This window comes from Homo sapiens, chromosome 6 (assembly GCF_000001405.40).
Source record: "Homo sapiens chromosome 6, GRCh38.p14 Primary Assembly".
Lineage (NCBI taxonomy): Eukaryota > Metazoa > Chordata > Mammalia > Primates > Hominidae > Homo > Homo sapiens.
Window position 1 is genome coordinate 6,314,053 of NC_000006.12, and position 21,793 is coordinate 6,335,845.

Sequence of the window (21,793 nt, forward strand, 5' to 3'; positions counted from 1 at the left end):
CTCACTGCAACCTCCACCTCCCAGGTTCAAGCGATTCTCCTGCCTCAGCCTCCCGAGTAGCTGGGATTACAGGCGCCAACCACCACCCCAGGCTAATTTTTGTATTTTTAGTAGAGACAGGGTTTCACCATGTTGGCCAGGCTGGTCTCGAACTCCTGATCTGGTGATCTGCCCACCTCGGCCTCCCAAAGTGCTGGGGTTACAAGCATGAGCCACCGTGCCCAGCCCTCCCTACCACTTTGTAAAGCATAATTCTGATTATGTATTTCTGCTAATTAGAATCCTTCTCAAGTCCCGCATTATCTGCAGGAGGAAAGCAAGATCCCCAAGGCCTGGTATGGTGTGATGCCTGCCATCTTTTCCCAGGCTTATATCTTCTCTTTCATCTTTTAGTCCCTCCTCACTTGCAATATACTGTTCCCTCTACTGCAAACACTTTTCCATGCGCTTGCCTGTCAGGAACACTCATACTCATCCTCTAAGTCTCGGCTCCAATATCCTTGCATCAGGAAGCCCTCCTCATCCTCTTCCCCACTCCACCACACCGCTAGACATTGATTTCTGTTATTTCACTGCAATTTGCATAAATCACAGTCACAGTCTTTATTACACTGAATTGCAATGATCTTTTATTTATTTTGTCTTCTACACTGAGAGTTTCTTGAGGCCAGGGACTAACTTACTCAACTTCATGTCCCAAGGGACAGCCTGGAGCAGCTCCTGACACATATGTGAAAACCAGTGTATATTTTTCCAGGAACTGAATGAAAGGAGGAACTGCTGCTGGACAATAGCATTTCTCAGTCATACACTGAATGCCTCTTAGTCTCTCAGTAACCTTCAATCCAGAGAGGTTTACTCTGCACAAAGAGGAGGTTTATCATTAATTGGTTGATTTAATTCTGACAAGGAGTGGTGGGATGGAGGAGATTCTTAGAAAGGTATAAGACCCCATTAGCCTGAAAAACTACTAGAACCCAGTTTTTAAATAGGGCCAGGCTTGCTTTCCAGTTTTAATTCAATACAATAGAACTGTTAAATGATTCCAATTACTGCTACAAATGGTCGCCTATTGTTAACAATATAGAGCCAAAGCAGACCAACAACATAAGGTTTCTTCTGGAATATTACATTTCCAGCTACACATAACCTTTCAGACCAGGAAGGCAGTGGAGAGATTTTTCAGAAACACCAACTAAGCCTGCAGAACAGTCTATTAGAAATTGATACAAATCCAAATCTGAGGAGATCGTCTCAGTACCTTTCCTGGCTACAACTGAATTCAAAGGGTGACATTAAAGATGCCTAAAATCATGCAAAGATGTCAAACGCTACCACTGAATGGCTGGTCCCACCTCTGGGATTTCCGTGCCTACCTCAAATATTTCATTTTTTTTTTCTTGAATATCATGGTGTGTATGAGAGGAAACTTACATGAGTTTATACATTTTAAAATACAGATTTTACCAAAATAATTCTTAACCAAATGTTACCAAAGCCATGACTTAAGGGCGTTATATACACTCAGTATACCTTAGAACACTGTATATATCACACACAGTGATGGGCAGGACTCACTGCTACAGAACTATTAGAAATGAAAAAGCCGCCATTTCCCCCCTTTTCCTCTTCTTGCCTCTCTGCATTTCTCAGTCAGTATTACAAGAGCAGCTTGCTAACTGGAAGAGTGGCCACTGAAAAAAATGGAGACAAGAGTTTAACTTGGGGCTGGTGTTCCTGGAGCCAAAGTCATCATCCGCAGATTGGTAACCGCGGATACAAGGCCTCTTAGAGGCCACTAGTGGCCACTGGGTGAACTGCATGAAGATGGCATTTTAAAAATGAGTGTTCTTTCCAAGGTTTAGTCGCTTAGCAAATTTCGTCCCTTAGTGACTTGGAGAAAACTTGATATATAGTGCCAGAAAACCTGCTTTTAGAACAATTAAATATAAATCTGAAATGCAAAAGGTAACCAGGAGATAGACCTCCTTGTTCAGATGGTTTGTGTGCTGCTATGTGTGTGTGCATATATATATATATATATATATATATATATATATATATATATATATATATATATATATATATATAGTTTTTTTCCTGTCCTTCTCATCTGGGACTTGCTGTCATGATTCTGGGCTTCAGAAACCGTATCCCCAGAGCATGTAACACTTATCTTGTCTGTGAAAAATATTAAATGAATGCATATGTATGAAATCTGTAGCTTGTTATTAATAATAAATTATAATGCCACTAGAGCTATGAGTCATTCAATTCACAAGTGATTGACTGTTCGTTCATTCATTCTACAGTCACTGGACATTCATATTCCTATGCCAGTGCCTCTAATGGATATCCCAGAATGTCACTTGGGTTGTGGACACATATGTCTGCCAAGTAAATAATGACTGATTTTTTCAGAGTAATTCAGTTATGCTGCTCCCCACCTGTGCCTCCAGAAATCAACAAAAGCAGTAATCCCAGATTTTATTTTTCTTAATTGGCCTACCTGCACATGTTCTCTGACAGTTTTAATGTCTTACTAGCAGCATTTTGTTCAGATGTCAGATTTATGGGGGCTACAGGTCGTACATATTCCTCATAGGAACAAGTATTCCCTGGAGTGCTTTCCTGACCTTGCTGGGATATGATAAGTTGCACATTCCCAGTCAATGAACACTTATTGGTCACGTGCTGTGGGTCAGACTTGATCACAGACACTGCTCACTAGATGCTCACGACAATCTGTGAAGTAGGCATTGCTTCCATTTTGCTGATGGAGAAACTGAGGCTTGGGCACCAATATGACTTTCCCAGAGTGAGCAAGAAGTGGCAGATGTGGAACAGGAAGCCAGGTCTTCTGCCTCTGCTCTCTGCTTCCCTGCTTCCCTGCACTGCCTTTGTAGAGGTTCCCGTTTTTCCCAATCCTGGCAAGGGTGGCTGTGTCCTGACTCCTCGTGGCAAGGACGGTTGTGTCATTACTCCTCCTGTTCTTACTGCCCACTTCTTCCAGTGCCTACACCCCCTTTCCGGGGGCCCAGAGTCTTTTGGGCCACAGGGGAATTTTGCTAGAAGATGGAATACACAAAGGCAACCTGCTTAATAATTTGATATCTGTAGGCTTTTGCATTTTATTTGCATTCTTAAAGAAAAAGACTCGTAGACTGGGTAAGCAGTGAATATCAACTGCTTACCTTCAGCCTCTATTTCCTAACATATAACATGGGGATGAGGATTCATTGATTAGCAAGTCCTCTTAAACTCAGTTCTGTGGCTGTCAAGGTGGGGTTTTAGAGAGTGGCATCCAGCTGGGAGACAGATTTCAGAACTACAAGTTCGTCTTAGCCCCTCAAACTCTACCACCTGACTGAAGATGCCCTTCTGTTCTGTGAACTTCTTTTCCCAAACTTGGATGGTACTGGATACCTCCCTGATTTCACTATTTGATATCAAATCATCTAGTGTGACAGTAACACAATGACACCAGTCCACAACACCTGGGCAAGTGTCTGGCTTGCTGGATAAACTGCACTTCCCCTTTCCCTTTGCTATATGGAGAGCTGCATCAATCTGGGCTTTCAGGCATTGGTCTCCTTCTAATGAGGGGAATCGACCACACAGCTCCAGCATGACCATGCTCACCTATCCCAGCAAATAGGTGTTTATCCCCAGTGAAACCCAGCACAGAACACCCTTAGGAGTAAAATTAGATTTTGGTGCATGAATGTTATTGACAAAAAAGACTCCCTGCTCAATGCCACTCGGGGACATGAGTCTGAATGTCCCTGCCATGGCCCAGGGGAATGATGTCTGTATCACCAAACCAGTGCTGGCACCTGGACCTTGTCACCACTGACAGGGCTGAGAGGAGGTCAGCTGCCGGCTGCTGTACCCGGAACAGGTTTCTAGGGATCAGGCAGAGGCAAGAGGCTGGGGAAGCAGCTTGCCTTGCCAGCTCACCAGGCTGCTCTGGAGAGAAATAGAGGGCTTCTATCTCTATTACTGTCAGAGTCTGGCACTTCTCCCCGGCTCTGAAATTCACAGCAATGGATGGAGGAGGGAGGAGGGAGAAGGAAGGAGGTGCAAGCCAGACAATCAAAACAGCCACAATATTTTGGAAGTGGAATATTCCAGCTAGAGAAAATTCTCTAAAGCATTGAGCAGTAGGGCTGGAAGAGGCCCTAGCTAATCCAGCACTCTGGTTTTGTAGAGGAAATAGTTGAGAGGCAGAAAGACAAAGCAACTTCTCTGAGGTTACAAGGTCAGTAAGGGGCAGAACTGGGACAAGGCTCTGGGTCTTCGGTGCTTTCACCACTTAAAAGAAAGCTTTTGCTTTCTTCCTTTATAAAACCAGAGATTGGCAGGGGGCTTCCTTTTGTGGGAACCCCAGTGGAGACAGAGGATGTTTACCTGCAGGGAAGAGGGGCCAGGGCCCGGCTGTGCCTGGACCCAGAGTGGTGGGGAAGGGGGGTATGCTCATACCTTGCAGGTTGACGCCCCGGGGCACCACGCCCTGAAGCTCCACTGTGGGCAGGTCATCTTCCGCTGCATTAGAGTTATTGGGTGGAACTGCTCTTCTGCCTCCAAAGGCGGTCCTGGAAGTTTCTGACATTTTTGACTTTACAAGGTCCTTCAGAAAAAAAAAAAAAAGAAGACAACAGAAAAGGCATGTAAAGTGAGTAACATTTGAGACAAGGATTCCAAAATAGAGAAACAGATATATCTGTGTGTGATAGCACTTGAGCAACACATTTTGCCGTTTGCATAAATAAAAACTGAGAAGTGGCAGCAAGGATTAGTCTAATGATGGAATACAGTTCCCCAAGGATCTTGGGGAGATTTTTGTATGTGTCAAAACATATGGAAAGCAGAAGAAAAGGGGCTTATTCAAAGAAATTTAAAAATTAAAAGATTTTTGGAGACCCAGATTCCCCCACCCTCCATAATCCTACAGCAGCATCTTCGCAAGAAATGTTTCCTGTTATATGCATGTGCTGTATCTATGTTCATTTCATACAGATTTATGAGATTATAAGTCACTTTTAAGAATAAACGCACACAACCATGTCCAGACAAATGTTGTCTTCTAAAGCGTTTACATTTGCAATTTAATTCAACCAATATTTATTGAGGGCCTATGACATGCCAGGCTGTGATCTAGGTACATGGGATACATCAGAGAACAAAACAGAATGTTTGCTCTGATAGATTATAGTCTGATAGGGTTAGGGTGGAGCCCAAGAAGAGCCATAAGTAAATCCACTTAGGGGTGAGGAGGTAGGAACTGCTTTGGAAATTGAGCCACATGGAGGAGGATAAGGAGGTGGAGAGGTTGGGCATGCAATTTTCAATAGGGCTATCAATAGGCTTAAGAAGTCAGGGTTGCCAACATTTCCCATTCCCCAAGCCTGCTTCCCCTTCCCTTGGAGCTTGTGCAGGCACTGAGCCAGTTTAAACAACACACACCTGACGGTCAGTGCCCAGTAAGTACTTGTTGACCAAATGACCAAATGAAGGGGGACTTTGTTTCTGGGCCCAGTGAAGGTTCCCCCTTGATCCCCTGGATTACCCAGTCATGACTCCTGGAGACTTGGCTATTTTCAAAAACCAGGCACACCCCCAAGAGGTGAAGAGTCCCCATTATAGAGGCCACCAGAGTAGAGAGATGGTTCCAGAGACATGTGGAGCACTAACAACATGCTGGAGAAAAGACAACCACGCCTAAGGTGTCTGGTCTGAGAAGGAGACAGGAGTGTTTGGATGCATAAGGTGTGAATGGGTATCCATAAGTATAGATAAATATATTTACAGTCATTGGTGAGCTGACGGGGGAAGGGAGGGAGAAGAGCGAAAAAGGGTTAATGATAGGGAGAAGGCTGCGAGAGCCATCCTCTAGTGAGAAATACCGAAGGTAGGCTGCGGCATTGCCAGGGGTGCAGAACAGTGTGGCGCGCTGTCGGGAGACACAGTGCTAAGGGGGAGAAGGGGGGAGCCCCAGGTGCACGCCTGGCTGGGTGAGTGCGGCGGGCAGGAGCCCTCGCTTCTGGGCGGGTCTAAGGAGGAGAAGTGGCTCGAGTTCAGCTCCAAATTGGGACGGAGGCAGGCGATGCGCAGGAGTGGGGAGGCGCGCAGGAGTGGGGAGCCAAGCCGGCGGGGTTCCAGTCTAGCAGGCTGTTCTCACTTGGCCCCACTCCCTCCACCTTTTGTGTTCCAGCTCCATAATCTGCTCCCTGAGGAAAGGGGGCTCGTCCCTTGGGGAAGCACCTCCAACTCCCCCATCCCCATTTGGTGGCATTCTAAGCAAGCAACGGCTTCGGGAGAGCTGCCTCGAGAGCCTGAGAGAAGTCCCGCTTAGAAGCTGGGCTGGGCAGGTGCGGAGTTGGGGGCGGGAAGCCAGGATTGGGCAAGTGGAGCTGCCTGTGACCGGCGCCACAGGGCCCAGAGCAAGCCGCTTGCTGGTTCAACCAGGAAACCGAGGTGCAGAAGGTGGACGCAGCGGGCCCTGGCTCATAGGGTGCAGGGTCGGTGGCTTACCTGCAGGCGCTCCCCTCCAGAGGTGCCCTCGCGTGGGCTTGCTCTGTGCGCCTCGGGGACTTCCTCAAACGGACTCGGGAAAGACAAGACAGTTGGCTCTTAAATAACTTCCTAAGAGGAGCCCTCACCCTCCTCCCCTGTCCCACAGGGTTTTCTCCTCCCCCTTCTCCACAGCTGGAGCCAGTAGGGGAGCTCAGAGGATTTTCTATTTACTTCATCTGGCCTGTTATCCCGGCAGGTGCGCCCTTCTCTCCCACTTGCCCCTCTGACTCCCAATTTCCCATTCCCACTTCTCCTCCCCATCCCCATCCCTAGATCTGCCCTCCCCACCGCAACCAGTTGCTGGGAGTACCAGGCAAGGGGCCCTGCAGTGCCAGGAAGTCCCCACCCGTCCCCTTTGGTCAGAGGGTCTGGGAGGGTTTCCTTTACAAAGGAATGCTTTTGCCTGGCAGGTCAGCTGCTACTGTGGCTTGGCAGGAGGGGGGTCTGCCCTCCCACAGACAGGTCACACAGACAGTTGTGACCATGCATGCAGTGAGAGCAACGTGTCCCTCCTGTGCAAATAAGGCATGGTCTGCATTCCTGAATCATCCCAGAGCCACAGCCACCGCCTAACCACAAGACTTCCTGCAGGAATGGGATGCCTAGCCCCAAGGAAGATGAGTAAACATCTTTAATAATGCCATGCAGATTAGAAAATAACACTTGGTTTTCTCTGAAAATCATTTTAGTGCATGTTCAAAAATTAGAAAATTTTCCCCCTAAAATTTTAATTTTTTTCTTTTACTCTTTCTTTCTTTCTTTCTTTCATCTTTCTATCTTTCAGATGAAGTCTTGCTCTGTTGCAAAGGCTGGAGTGCAACCTCCACCTCCCGGGTTCAAGTGATTCTTCTGCCTCAGCCTCCCAAGTAGCTGGAACTACAGGTGCATGCCACCATGCCCGCCTAATTTTTGTATTTTTAGTAGAGATGGGGCTTTACCATGTTGGCCAGGCTGGTCTCGAACTTCTGACCTCAGGTGATCCACCCTCCTTGGCTTCCCAAAGTGTTGGGATTACAGGCGTGAGCCACCGCACCCAGTCAAACATGGCTATTTCTAACCTTCTTTACTGTCTTCAAATTTCTGACCCTGCCACTCAATCTCCCAATGTTATAAAGAAGAAAAAAAAAGATGCCATTGGTTAGAAATTCTCTCAATTTTCTGCTACCAATCTATGAACCTGCCTGCAACCTTATCTATCTTTTCCTCTTTCTTCTTGTTACTGAAGTTGGAAAGGTCCCTCCTCCCTCTGCATCTCCAAACCAGGCTTCTGCGTTGCCTTGTTCTCCGGGGCTTTGCTGTGACTCTTACGTACTCTTCCTCTTGCAGCTTCAAGCTCCTGCTTGCTAATAGTGGGTCTTCTCAGCATTCATGCAATTTCAGGTCTCTTCAGTATTTTTTTAAAAACCTCCCCCAACCTATGTCCCCACTCCTGCTGTTACTCCTCCTCTCCTCCCCTTCATCACTAAGTATCTGCCATCTGGCTTCCGCCTCATCATTCTACTGAAAGTGGAGGTCACGGTCTCCAAGGCCTGTGCTCAGGCCAAAAGACAGGATTCAGTTCTTATTTACCTGACCTTTTGGAAGCATTGAACTCTGTCTTTGAAGGTATTTTTCCTAGGCCTCCTTGACATTGAACACTCTGTGGTTTCCTCCAGTGCAGCGCAATATTCCTTGATTGTCTGAGGAACTCCCATAGTTTTCAAATTCCATCTATATCCTGACACCTCCCAAATCTGGGTCTTTAGCCAAGATCTTTTCCAGAATTGCAGATTCCCGTATCTAAGTGCCTACTGGCTATCCTCATTTGTCACATCCCAGTGACAACACACGCTCATCATGTCTAACATGAGATGTATCACTTTCCTGGAAAACCTGGTGCATCTCAGGAGTTCCCTACCTCAATGAATACCATCACTTTGCACGCAGGTGGTACACCAGACACATGGGCATCATTCTTGAGGCTTCCTTGTTTCTCTCCCTCAATCATCAAATCCGATCCTTGAGCAAATATTTTCTATCCTACCTCTTAAACAGCCCTTGAATCTACCCGTGTATGTACCCCTTTCCAGTCCATTCTCTACAGTGCAGTCAGAATGAGCATTTCAGGGCTAAAATCCGAAATCAAATTATTTGCACAAAGCCCTTATATGGCTACTTCTCTTTGCTTTTTGGATAAATTGCAAGCTGAAACTGACAAGGCCTATACAAGCTGGACCCTGCCTCTAGCACTGCTCTTTCCCTCAGCATCCATACAATTTGAGGTCTCCAGTATTTTTAAAAAACCTTCCCCCAACACCAATCTACCCTCCCTGCCTTCCACTGTTGTTTCTCCTCTCCTCCTCTTCATCACTAAGCTTCTGCCATTTGGCTTCCATCTTTCTTCCCTATCATCTTCCTCTGCCATCTTTCTTCCCTGCCCAGTCTCCCTCCACTGACTCCCCAGTTGTCTTGCAAGGAGTTTGCCTTGTTGTAGTGCTCCTCACACTGCATGATCATTTTCTGTTTCCTTGGCTGTACCTGCACTAGAGTACAAAAAGGTAGGGACTCCAGCCAGAGTTCCCTGGAGAGAGGCTGCTGACCACTTAACTATCCAAAGGCCGTCTTTGCCACATCCCTTGCTGAGTGCTAGAGAAAGACCCTAAAGATGTCTAGCACTGCTTCCCCTCAGCATTCATACAATTTCAGGTCTCCTCAGTATTTTTAAACCCTCCCCCAATCCTTAACGATCATATTCTGGTAGTTCTCCTGGCAAACATCAAATCTGAGTGTCTAGAATTCCAAGATACCCTCATCCATGTGGGGTTGGAGGATGAGCAGCCACCCTTGCACCCTTCAGATGAGGTTACGCAGATGCCAGGTACCCCTGGGACTTGGGGTTGAGTTGTGCATTCAGAACAGGATTGTCACCCTCACAACCACCTCCACGGTGTCACTTTTGGCCTTAGACTAATTATTGGCTTTGTGAACATACACACACAGTGGTTGGCTTTCTGACTCCCCCAAACCACTAACCTCAAGAGCATCATAAATGCAATGGCTTTCCTTGTGCTAAACAAAGTCGATAAAAATGTGTCTAAGCCACCAAGCCCTAGAATGCGGTTGAAGCCCATTCATTTTACAGGGTATTCCTCATGGTTATATGGCTGAGACATCAGAACAAAGGTTTCTGGTCACACAGTGAATCTTGAACTGTGCTAGGGATGCAACTTCCACAGGTGCATAGGCTCTGAGGTCCTTAAGGATGGGATGGTGTCTTTTATTTCTGAATGCCCCCTGCCTGGCATGGAAGTGGAGCCATGTAAATATTTAAGGCATGTAACAGACGGGGTTCATCCAGGAAAACAAAAACCACTTTAGGTCTTTCTAAAAGAAGGAATTTAAGGCAGGGGATTGGTTACACAGGTGAGAGAAGAGACAAGAAACCAAACACGAGAAGGTGAATCAACTCCACAATTAGCAACAGCAGAGAGGAGTTGGTGTCGTTGTAGCGGGAGGACTGAGGGTAGGTCAGGCACTGGAACCGTGTGGTCCTGTCTGGTGGGAGCTTTAGATCCCATAATTCCAAGAAACACTGTCTGAGGTCAAGAGGGAGGGAAGAATGATCCTAGCTTGTCCCTTTCTTCCCGCTCCCTCTCCCTCCCTTGTCTGCCGTTTTGCTGAACTCCACTAGAATCAGTTGACAAAGGACTCTGGAAAATACCGCCTGCAAAGTTAGCCCCACCACTCCTGTGCTGGGGCCCCAAGGCTACCCCCAGGTTCTGTGATTCACTAGGAGGACTCACCAGACTCGGCCACCCACGTAGCTATGATCAGATACAAATGTACATATATCATATATACTACACGATAAATCATGACGAAAAGATACAAATCCAAATCAGCAGAGAAAAGGCACTTGGGCAAAGTCTGGAGGACCAGGCAGAAGTTCCCAAAGGTCCTGTCCTAATCAAGGCACATGGGCTGTGCCTACCAACCCTGGCAATGAGTTGTGACAACACTGATATAATGTCATCTGCCAGGGATGCTCACCAGAGGCTCAGTGCTCAGGGTGTTTATGGGGGGCTGGTCACATAGGTACCCTCTACCTAGCTCATAGCCATTTTCCAGACTCCCTGAAGGAAGCAGGTGTTAAGCATGAGCCACAATTTTTGTACAGTTTAGGCCCAGCCAGCCCCACTTGTCAGTTAGGGAACAGTGGGAAGACTCCTGAAGTCCAAGTTCCCAGATGCCAGACAAGGGCCAAGCTTGCAAGTAGGGCTTTCTAAGCCAGTTTCAGGTTTGCTATGTTAACTCTTTACTGCATCCATACAGGGAAAGGGTGAGGAAAGGCTCTCTGGGCAAACAGTTCCAGGACTGCCACAACACACTGTGCTCTTTCATCATGGCATGGCCAGTCCCTCACATGAGATGTCAATAGGCCTGGAGCACGAGGAGACTCCAATGAGAACGTCACAAGGGTAATCCAGTTCTGCCCCTACTTTCTTGGCCTTACCAGCTCAGCATGAGACCTCCAAGGAGACGTGAACTCCCTCTGGCTGCACGGGCCTGGGCATACCTTCTCACTCTTCTGAAGCTGAAGGGCTCACCCCATTGCCTCCCCAAGAAGCAGGGTAAAAATTCCTAAACACATCACTCTGGGATCCTGGCGTCTCTCAGAAATATGTAGTAAACTTTGGGAGTTGTGAGTAAACAGAAAATACGTGGGAGGAGGGATTCCGGATCCCCTTACCTTGATCCTTTAATTCTGAGTTTTCATTTCTATGGTATTGACACTTTTCTCTGCAGTCTCTCCAGACAAACCATCTTTCTCCTACTTGGCAATACCCAAGGAGCAGACCATATTTGTTCAGGCAATGAATTTTCTGGCAAACTCTATTTGATTTACATGCAAAACTTCACATCTCAAACAAACAAACAAAAAACCCAGTCATGTCTGGACGCTGCTGGTTTTTTCCAGCTGAACAAGACCTGGATTTTGTTGGTTATAGATGTAATTCCAGAGGGAGGTGAGTAGATACATAAATAACAACTGGCCTTGTTCAAAGATGCCAGACCCTCTGACATGAATGACCCAAGTTCGTCTCTTGGGAGAGTCTTTCTCCTGCACTGCCCTTCATCCTGTAGGAGCTGGAGAAAACTTTCCACTCCAGATGGAAGTGTCCTGGGGGAGAGGATGGAAGGGAGGCTGGGTGGGCAGTTTGTAGTCAGGTTCTAGCCACAGTAGTGAGCAGTGGGGGAAGGCAAGCGGCCCTCTGTATCCATTCACATATTTTTCAAAGCCTCACGAGCGTTTTCACAAAGTCTGGCAATGACATTTTAAAAGGAATTTATAAAGCATCATCGCAGTTGCCACCACAATAGGGCGTGGGATCTAAGACAGGACCATGTCTCCCACAGCCTCTTTTCCTTCTTCTTTCAGGAAAGATGAAAACCCATGCCAGGGACAGGTCCAGATGGCAGGAGTTTTCTCTTTGCTTTGGCTTCCCTGGGCATAGCCCACTCTTGCCAGGGATCTACGATCACCTGTAATCTACCTTCCCGAGGAGCAGTGATGGATTGCTGGGGGCTGCCTCACCTCATGGCAGGCAAATGGAAGAAAGCTGTTCTCGCCTTAGGAAAGAAAGATTTAACTAATGTACCCACCTTCTTACAGTAAATATCTCTGTCTTAAAAAAAATTTTAATTGTGGTAAAATACACATAAAATTTATAATCTTAACCATTTTTCAGTATACAATTCAGTAGTGTTAAGGCTATTCATGGTATTGTATGACCCATCTCCAGAATGTTTCTGTCTTGCAAAACTGAAACTCTGTTTCCATTAAACAACTCCCTGTGAATATGTGTGTCTGTGTGTGTCTGGCTATATATTTGTGAGTGTATATGTCTGTCTGCATGTGACTGTGCACACATCTGTGTGAGCGACTGAGTGTGTCTGAGTATCTGTGTGTATGGGTATTTCTGAGCATGTATGCCTCTGTGTGTATGCATTGTCTACGTGAGTGTATGTGTCTGTGAGTGTGTGCACATCTGTGTGAGCAAGTGTGCCGTGCATATGAGCGAGTATGCAGGTGGAAGGGAAGGACTGAGGAAGCACTGAGGGTTTAGCTCCAGAAAACTTTCTCCACTGGCTTCCTAACTCCTCCAGAGTCCTGATGGAGTTTAAGGAGACTCCAAGAGATTTTTAAACTTGAAAAGACTTTATAAAACATGACGAAGGGTCAACTAGAAGTAGGTCTGTTACAGATAACGATTTTTCAAGTTTAAAGGAAAGAAATTTCATAAAAAATGAAAAATTCATAAAAAAAGAAAATTTCATAAAAAATGCTAGAAACACCCACAGTGGGAAGAGACATCAGTCATGCCAGCCTCACTGCATATGACACAGATGCATGCATGGTTTAATTCAATACTTTTCCTTAAGTGAAGCAAGAGACCCCACATCCACCCATCCCAAGTATCTCACTTTGCCAGAGGAAAAATTCAATGATAACAAAACATTATGAAAAAATTAGTAATTAAAATAATACAGCAATGTGTATGAACAAAATAATCAATGAAAGTGAAACCTAATAGTAATTCCACAAACTTATTACAAAGCTATTAATTTAAAGAGTAGTGGCAATTGAAAACCACAACCAACACCAGATAATGGGGATGCTATAAAAACAATGCTTGCTTCAGTAAAACTATCAGAATGCTGACTAAATGTGTATGCACATATGTGTGCATGTGTGTGTGTGTGTGTGTGTGTGTACAAGTACAGTAGGAGCTTTGGAGTGTTCCCAAGAGTAATATGGCAGCTGGAGTTAGAATCTACTATCTATGTAACCTTGGGCACATTACTTAACCTCACCTGTAAAATGGTGATCCTAATAATGTATACCTCACAAGATTATGAAGATCAAAGAAGAGAATACCTATAAAAAGGTTTGTATAGTCCCTGGCAAGAAGCTAGCTCTAAATAAATATTACCAGTAATGGTATGTGTGCACTGGACAACCTTCACTCATCCATGATGAATATTTTAACTTTTTGTAATAGTTATTACCTGTATTTTCTCATTATCATCCTCATATCAGGGAAGTGAATATTTAAGTTGCTAATAATTTTGGATAATTTGAAGAGGCCATTATCAGCATTTATTGCAGTATTTTCTGTCTAGAACCTCTTCAAGAGCTTCATGTGCAATTCATGCTTGTCAAGGGGTGAGATTTATAATTGGCTGGTTGTGGTTGTATATGTGAGGATATGTATATGTGAGGATATGTATATGTAAGGGTCTATTTCTCTTGCTCTGTCACCCAGGCAGGAGTGCAGTGGCGCGATCTCAGCTCACTGCAAGCTCTGCCTCCCGGGTTCACGCCATTCTCCTGCCTCAGCCTCCTGAGTAGCTGGGATTACAGGTGCCCGCCACCACGCCCGGCTAATTTTTGTATTTTTAGTAGAGACGGGGTTTCACCGTGTTAGCCAGGATGGTCTCAATCTCCTCGTGATCCGCTCGCCTCAGCCTCCGAAAGTGCTGGGATTATAGGCGTGAGCCACCGCGCCCAGCCAATGCCTTCCATTTTTAAGCTATATAAGAAAGATGTCTGGGGAGTGGGTCAGAGACTGATTTTATTTGATATATACCAAGTGAAGGCACCAGCTTCCACATGGTTGCCAGTGAAGGGACCAGCTTCCACATGTTGCCAGTTCTTTCTGGAAGCCCACATCCAGGTAGGCTTCCTGGGCAGACCCACGGGCATCTCACCAAACTCTTCTAATGAGGTCTGTGGCTATGGGTCAGCAGGGTGCCCCTGTCTTGGGCACTCTTGCCCAAGAGTGCCGCTGCCCTCTGTTGTAGTCGCACAACTGCACCTTCTTGCTGATGAGGTGAAGCACTAACACAAGGCCAGAAATGGAAGGGACATGATGTCAGCTGGAGTCTTCCTAACAGCAGAACTTCTGGATAATGATCTATGAATTTCTAAGGAAAGCCAAAGGCCATTGCATAATCGCATGTGTGGGTGCTAAAACAGCCAAATAAAGGGGCAAGTTCTCCTTTCTTTGATGCTCCCTCAGCAATTTCTGCAGTGAAGTTTCAGATAACTGTGCCAGAGCCCTTCCTGTGAAAGTGTTTCTTGTTAATGCATTTCTCCTCTCACAATGGTAACTATAAGTGGTTAAAATAGCATCAGAAACACTAACTCTATCATATGGACATATATCATGATTCACTAAAAATATTTCCCACAATGCAGTTTTAACTTAAACAAAAGTTGTTTATATATACGTGTGTGTGTGCATGTGTGTATTAATAAATATAGACAGTGTAACTTACCCAGAAGAGTTCCTTATGCCTATGTTCTGAAAAAGACAGCACAGATGCCCAAAAATATAAGAAATTTTATAAGGGGCTTTTAGTGGTCCAAGATTCTCCTGCTGGCTTCTATGAGTGATAATGATCTAGAATTCTTCGAAAAGCCAAAAAGAAGTCTTCCAACAGCCATGACTTAATAAAGTCCATTGTCCCTGATTATTCAAACTCCTTCTGATTGTTCCATCTGATTTCATGATCACAAAGCCTATGAAAACTTTCTGTTCTGGGAAACAGAATCAATAATGTTTTATAAGCTTAACTGTGTGATATGATGTGATATTGTGTTTTATGGAATTGGACATGGCCTATGTCTCTACTATATTTTCACCTTGTATGCAACCTCCTGGGATACCATTACATATATATATATATATGTGTATACACACACACACATATATATATACACAAATACATATATATACACATATATGTGTGTGTGTGTATATCTGCTATATACATATATATGCTATATATATATACACACACACATATTATAGCTAGGTATGGCTTTATGTAGTACTTTCTTAAACATTCACCCTCAAACCTGAAGGGTTCTTTAATGATTGTGTTCATTTATTCATTTGGGATTAGCTAGTTTCCAAGGATGGATCAACCATCCATGCCTCCCGGTATTCCCAGCCATGTGTAGTCCCCTTCCACAGTGAATCTGGCTTCAACCAACAGGGTGCAGTGGAAGTGGCCCTATGCCAGTTCTCCACCTAAGCTATATGATGTCCTAACAGCTGCCTTTTCATGCTTTTAGAACCCTTAACCAACATTAAGAAGTCTAGCTACACTCCTGGAGTCCAGCTAACATGGAGAAACCATACAGAGAGGCCACATGGAGCGGTGGGGACATGAGAATGTGCAGGGAGGGAGAGGAGTCCAGCTGCCTCATAATCCTACCGGAGCCCAGGCATCAGCCATCTCTGCCAACCTGCAGCACGAGTGAGGACGCGAGTGTGCCACCTGGCAAGTGGATCCTCTGGCCCCAGTCAAGGAGCTGCAGCTGATGGTGCATGGAGCAGAGAGAAACTGCCCTGCTGAGCCCTGCCAAAATCATAAAATTGTGAGCAATGAAACAAAGTGGCTGTTATTTTAATCCACTAATATTTGGGATAGTGTGTTACATCGCAATAGATAACTGAGACACATTCATCAAATAAATATTTATCTAACCTGCTGTTTATAATAATAATACAACACTAATATTGAGTATGCTGTAATATATAGCAATATAATTAATATGGTAATATTTATCTATCTATTATTGACAGACTTTGTGATGAGTAGGAAATTGTATCTATCTTTAAGGCCTGCAGTCAAGAAGGGGAAACTATATTAAAAGCTAGTGTTTTGGAATTTCGTCAACAAGTCTGTTTCCACGATTTAATAGACTTCAAAATATTCTGTGTTTTCCTCCTATAACAAATATGTTCCTTGTGGACCTAATCTGGCATATAATATATGTACAAAAATACAAGTTAATTAATGAATTAAAGTCAGTGGAATCTCTTATGTCAGTGAAAGCAATAGGGTTGCTGACAAAAAAAGAAAGTAAAAGTTTTTAGTGAATTGTATATGCACCACTGGTTTTTATTTCACCTTTATCTTAAACAGTCAGCCACTCACTTAAACTTTGGCTTCTGAGGCTGAGAGCCACATAAAAGGGAGCACTAAATAACTGCAAGTGTAAAGAATGATTTGTGCTCCCTAAAATGCTTTATTCATACAAGGGAACTGAGGCTTGGAGAGGCAAAGGGGCTTGCTCATAATCACACACCTGGCACATTACGGATTTCAGACTCAAACAGACATTTTTAAAACCAAGTCCATTGTCTTGGCTAAAGTACACCTTCTCCAAACTCCTATCTTTCTCTTACTCAAAATTTCCCTTCAAATCTACACATTCCAAGATCTCTCTTAGAGCTGGGCCCATGGTGCTCCTGGAAGATATGATTGGATTTCTCCTCACCCTCTGAGCAGTGTAGGCACAGGTCTTCTGGTGCAGGGGATGGGGACATTAGAATGTGGCAGCTAGCTGGTACCTATTGGAGACCACCCCTGTAGGTGGGGTGACTCTACCACTCTGGTCTGTCAACAGAATAGTTTTTATGGGACCCTCATACGGGTCAGGGACTCTGTTATGTGCTGCAAGGGATTTGCAGGGAGCAAGAGAGAGGTCCTTTCCCGCAAAAGACTTACGGTCAGCCCCTAAGCTTCTCGGTGAAGGGAAGAGCAACATTGAACATCCGTCTTGGACACCTTGCCCCTTGGTTCTTCTATCTCACGAGTGCCTCGCAGTGGCTCTGCCTGTGGACCCTTACTCATGTTCTCTGGACCAGGGTTGTTAACCATAGCAGGTTAGAACTGCCCATTTATTCTAAATACAACAGCCAACTACCATCTTTATTTCAACCCTCACTTCCCACCACTTCTTCTCTAGTCTCAAAATGCCTTTCAGCATAGGCAGGAAATATGACAGAAGAAAGTCCCAGTCGAACAAACAATAACCGAAAATGCTCTTTGTTGCTGGGCCTTGGCGATCAAAGCCCTGCACATGTTTGCCAGCTGTAGTTCAGATGGTTTCTATTTCACTCAGCATTAATTTTTTATGAAATCTGTGGCCCAGGGGCCCATAAGCGGCTTTTAGTTCTTCATTCTATACTGTCTGGTCTAATTGCCAAGGCATGGTAAGACTCAGATTTTAAGGTGTCGTTAATGTATTTACCAGCCTTCCGGTCTACAGGCAGGCTCACCTCTTTGTGTGGGATTTTAATCATGTTTTGTTTTTAGAAAGGAAATGAAGGTATTCTTGGACTAAATATACTTGCTTTTCTTTGGATTTATTATCAGTATTTCACATCAGCGAGACAGCATACACAACACTGCCAATCCCAAACCTCAGACTTTATCTTCCAGTTTAAGTTTGATTCTTAAGAAGCATATGGAGTCTGTGCAGTGGAGGTAAGGCCTGTTTAAAATGAAGGCTGTTGTTTGTATGAAACATGCTTATTTAGTAGTTTATGATAAGGGGCCTGCTGACCCCAAAGGCTATCTTTCTTCTCACTTAGCAGCAGCAGCCTGGACTTTGTTTCAGATCGTCTCTGGATGCTGTAGCAAAGCCAGCAAGTGACTCACTGTCTGTCCTCAAACTCTTTGCAGCCCCCATTACTGAAGAGCCCCACAGACAACTTAGAAAACACAGTGATGGGAAAGTGACAGTGTTTGCAGAGTTGCTGGTTGCCAGGGGTCTACATGCAAGGCCAGTGCCGCGATCATTTTCATGAATTTCAGATGTCCTTTCTCTTGCCAACTTCGTGTGTTTTCTGAAAAATAATAAGAAAAAAAAAAAAACCCAGTCATCTGGCCTTACTTCCTTAAACCGAAGCTATTAGAGGTATCCAGGATCTGACTAGGGCAGCTAATTTTCTTTCAGTAGTGATTATAGCTGCACACCCTGCACAAACCGCATGCAAGACTCCCCCTCAACATAATTTTACATGCTTCACTTCTCCAATTGGCTCCAACTGTTAACAGAGCCCAGGTTTTGCATACACAGCCACACTTGGGGAGAAAGAAAAATACTTTGTTGCAGGCAGTTTTGCCTTGATACTTGGCACTACTCCATTTCCTGACTGCGTTACACTCCCTTCCCTCCCAGGTACCTGAGACTTCTTCATGCATCTGAGTGTCTGGCTTTTGATGCAGCTCCTGGTTAGGAACCAGCCCTCTCCATGGTCATTAGCTTCCTTTTTTTTTTAAAAAAAAAAAAAAAAAACTACCATCTAGTAGGCAGCTTCTTCGGCACTATTGTTAATCTGAGAATTTGCTAGTACTTAACTCACTCTTCACACGCCATAAAAATCTCTATTCTTTGAAGTGTCTAAGTGTGTGATGGCTGAATGTGTTGGGAGGAGCTGTGTTTCAATATGTTTTTTACTTTTGTTCTCAGGCCAGAGAAATTTCATTCAGTTTCATGTGTTCAGTCCTTGAAACAAAAGGCAGTGCTTCTATTTGAAGCTTTGGTTCATTTAAAGGAAGTAATCAATTCTGTTCTGTGAGTATTCACTGAATACTTCCTAGGACCTATGAACTGATTCATGCCAGAGGCTGCAGGGCCTCTCAAAAAAAAAACCAATGTGTACCACAATCCTCTAGAGGCTTTCTGATTAGACAGATTGGGAGCAGGGTCCAGTTCATAAGCATTTCTGAAACATCCCAAGGGAATGCTGACGTTGCCTCGGTGGACCCCCTTTGAGTAACACTGCTGAGAGAGACACCTTAGTAAATGCTCAGGGTTTTGTGGGAAGACATTGAAACACATCTGAATTAGACAGTAAGACAACCAGTAACACAAATAATTCAAGCCCCAAAATGCACTCTAGAGATATAGAATGCCAGTGGCCTTCAGGAGGTGATAGGAATCACCAACCACTGTGGACCAAAAGTGTCAGATTAGTCGCCGCTATCTGGGGTAGGGTTTTGGAGGCAGTCGGGTTTGGAAGAAAGTGTATGATGTGGATAGGTGGGAAGGGAGAAGAAGGCTTCCTGGACAGGAGGATAAGGTAACAAATAATGATATGTTTGGACTGAGAGCTGATGCATAGTTTCTGCAGAAATAAATGAAGACCAACCAAATGAGAACCAGAAAACTATTTATTCAGAGCTTGCAAGACAGTTAGTCACCATCACTTGCATTTTGGCAGAAATCCAAAGGCAGGCAGAGGAGTGGGAAAGTTTTAGAGTGGCAGAAAGGGAAGGTTCCAGTGTGCGCTGATTAGAGGCTGTTGGCATGAGGAAGCTGGAGGTGGCTCACTAGAAATGGGAATCCCATTTGATTGGTTAGGGGGTATATTTTGCTTTTTCCAGTTGGTCCTAAATTGGAAGGATGGACAAAAATTAAGGAAGCTGTAATTTATTGATCAAGTCCTGGCCATTTTTGACAATTGTTATAGAAGTTATTGCTTGACTTCCTGAGTTGTTATGAGAGATAAGAACTTACTTTCTACAAGTCTGACTTATAAGTAGCATACTGGCTTCCTTGGCTGGCTACATAGAGGTGGGATAGTCTCCAGGGCAGGTTGCTGCAGGCTGTGGGTTGTAGTTCTGTTTTTATATATGGTCTGGCCATTGATGTTTGTACATTCACTCTCTTGTTTCTGGATTTTTGGGGTTTGCCCTGATGTCATCTCTCTTTTCATATTTTTTCTTCTTCATTTTTTGAGATTATGGGCTTCTAGCCTCATTCCACTTCGCCAATGACTTTTGAGAGTTCTCTCCTTATTTTCTGAGCACTCAGGAGCCCTTCTATGTTCTATTTATTCTCTCATCCCTCAGATTGATGATGAGGAACTTCTCCTGGAGGAGCAGATGTTGGTTCAGTTGCTCCTGAGTGAAGCCCAATCCTCAGGTTCCATCGCTATTCACAGGGTGACAGCTATCGCTTGTATGGAGATACCAAAGCTGCATGGGAGACATCAAGGACCAGGGGTCACAGTTCTCTCCTTGACCTCATATGGAAGGACAATTGAGTGCTCTCTGCAAGAGCTTCCAAGTCCCCAGGTAGAGGGAACCCTGCAGGCTCCCCTTGGATAAATGCAGATGCAGGCACTGGGCCCTCTGCGAGTGTCTCGAAATGGAAACTCTGCAGATGGGGTCTTTGCTGCCAAAGCTAACATCCTAAAGGCTCGTGGCCCCAAACAGCTGAGCGGGGTCACCTCTTTTTCCAGCAAGCGCTTAAAAAGGCTCCATATCAGTGCTCCCCAGACACCACACTGAAGCTTTGCAGGACAACTCTCTGTTCTCACCATCTGTCGGCAGCTGCTTTGGCCACAGCAGTCAGCTGCCAACTTCTATCTTCCATCAGAGATGGCCTTCCTTCAGGCTTCTTGACCAGCTCTTTGATGGCACATAACCTTTTAGCCACCTCTCTAATTCTGCAGGTGGCTCACCATGGTTTATTTATGCCATTTCTTTGGCTCTCTGAAACTCCTCTTGGGGTGGCTCCCAGGAGGTCTAGGGAGCCGTGAGCACCTAATTAATTTTCCATGAGAAGCTCATGTGTTGGGCCATCCTTTCTCATTTTTTTTTTCAGAATTGCTTATTTGCTGCACTTATAGTCATTTCTCATGGAAAAATTTGACATATAAATCCATCATATATTAGATTATTCCAGTAAACTAAAATGGCCATAGGCACTCAGTGTAAAATATTTTAGCATTTAAAACATCCATAGCAAAGGTTTTTCATTTATAATAATCATAGATATTATTAAAGTAAATAATACATCTGGGAGCTAGGGCTTTTTCACCTTTGAATTCAGACATGTTGGGTGTGTTCGGGTATGTGCATTTATTTTTTCTGGGCAGAAAACAAATATCTTTGTGATGGTTACATAAACGATGAAAAATTAAGTTATTGAAATAATGATTCTGTTATGTATATTGAAATTAGAGATTAGCTGCTCCTCGATATCCATTTTCTTTTTCTTCTATAATAATTGAACCTCCAGTATTTAGCTATGCACTTGTCTGCAAGAAGAATCCTACTTTCCAACTTTTCTTGTGTGTGGTTATGGCCAGATGACTAAACTGTAGAGAAAGGGGTATAAATGGAGATATGTGTGTGTGAAATTTCTGGCATGAGTCCTTAGAAGGTGGGGATGTGCCCTTTCTTGACTTATTTTCCTTTCTTCTGGCTGGAATGTGAACGTGATGGCTGGAGCTAAAGCAGCCATGTGGATCACATCGGGAAAGCCTTAAGGATGGTGTATGAAGCAGCCAATCAGAAGGAGCCTGAGCTCATTCCAGCCCTGGATCACCTCCTCAGCCTCTTAAGTGAGAGTTAAATAAAC

The 21,793-nt window shown here is 44.6% G+C and overlaps 1 protein-coding gene and 1 long non-coding RNA gene across 2 annotated transcripts in view, besides 1 other annotated feature; one reads left to right on the forward strand and one right to left on the reverse strand.

The window, feature by feature from the left end:
• The window catches only part of F13A1 (coagulation factor XIII A chain), a 176,579-nt gene extending 169,969 nt beyond the window's left edge, over positions 1-6,610 (reverse strand). Inside the window, exons 1-2 of the mRNA NM_000129.4 lie at positions 6,535-6,610; positions 4,483-4,630 (exon numbers count right to left, since the gene is read on the reverse strand). Coding sequence (NP_000120.2) covers positions 4,483-4,612 — 130 coding nt within the window. The 5' untranslated portion in view covers positions 4,613-4,630; positions 6,535-6,610. The remainder of the gene's footprint in view (positions 1-4,482; positions 4,631-6,534) is intronic.
• The window catches only part of LOC124901253 (uncharacterized), a 44,281-nt gene extending 28,166 nt beyond the window's left edge, over positions 1-16,115 (forward strand). The window contains exon 2 of the long non-coding RNA XR_007059428.1: positions 15,701-16,115. This is a non-coding gene — a long non-coding RNA (uncharacterized LOC124901253). The remainder of the gene's footprint in view (positions 1-15,700) is intronic.
• Positions 17,760-17,809: an enhancer, noted in NCBI's record as "active region_23915". NCBI's record gives its function as "activates an Ori minimal core promoter by ATAC-STARR-seq in GM12878 lymphoblastoid cells {active_cell/tissue: GM12878}" and the evidence as "EXISTENCE:reporter gene assay evidence [ECO:0000049][PMID:35858748]".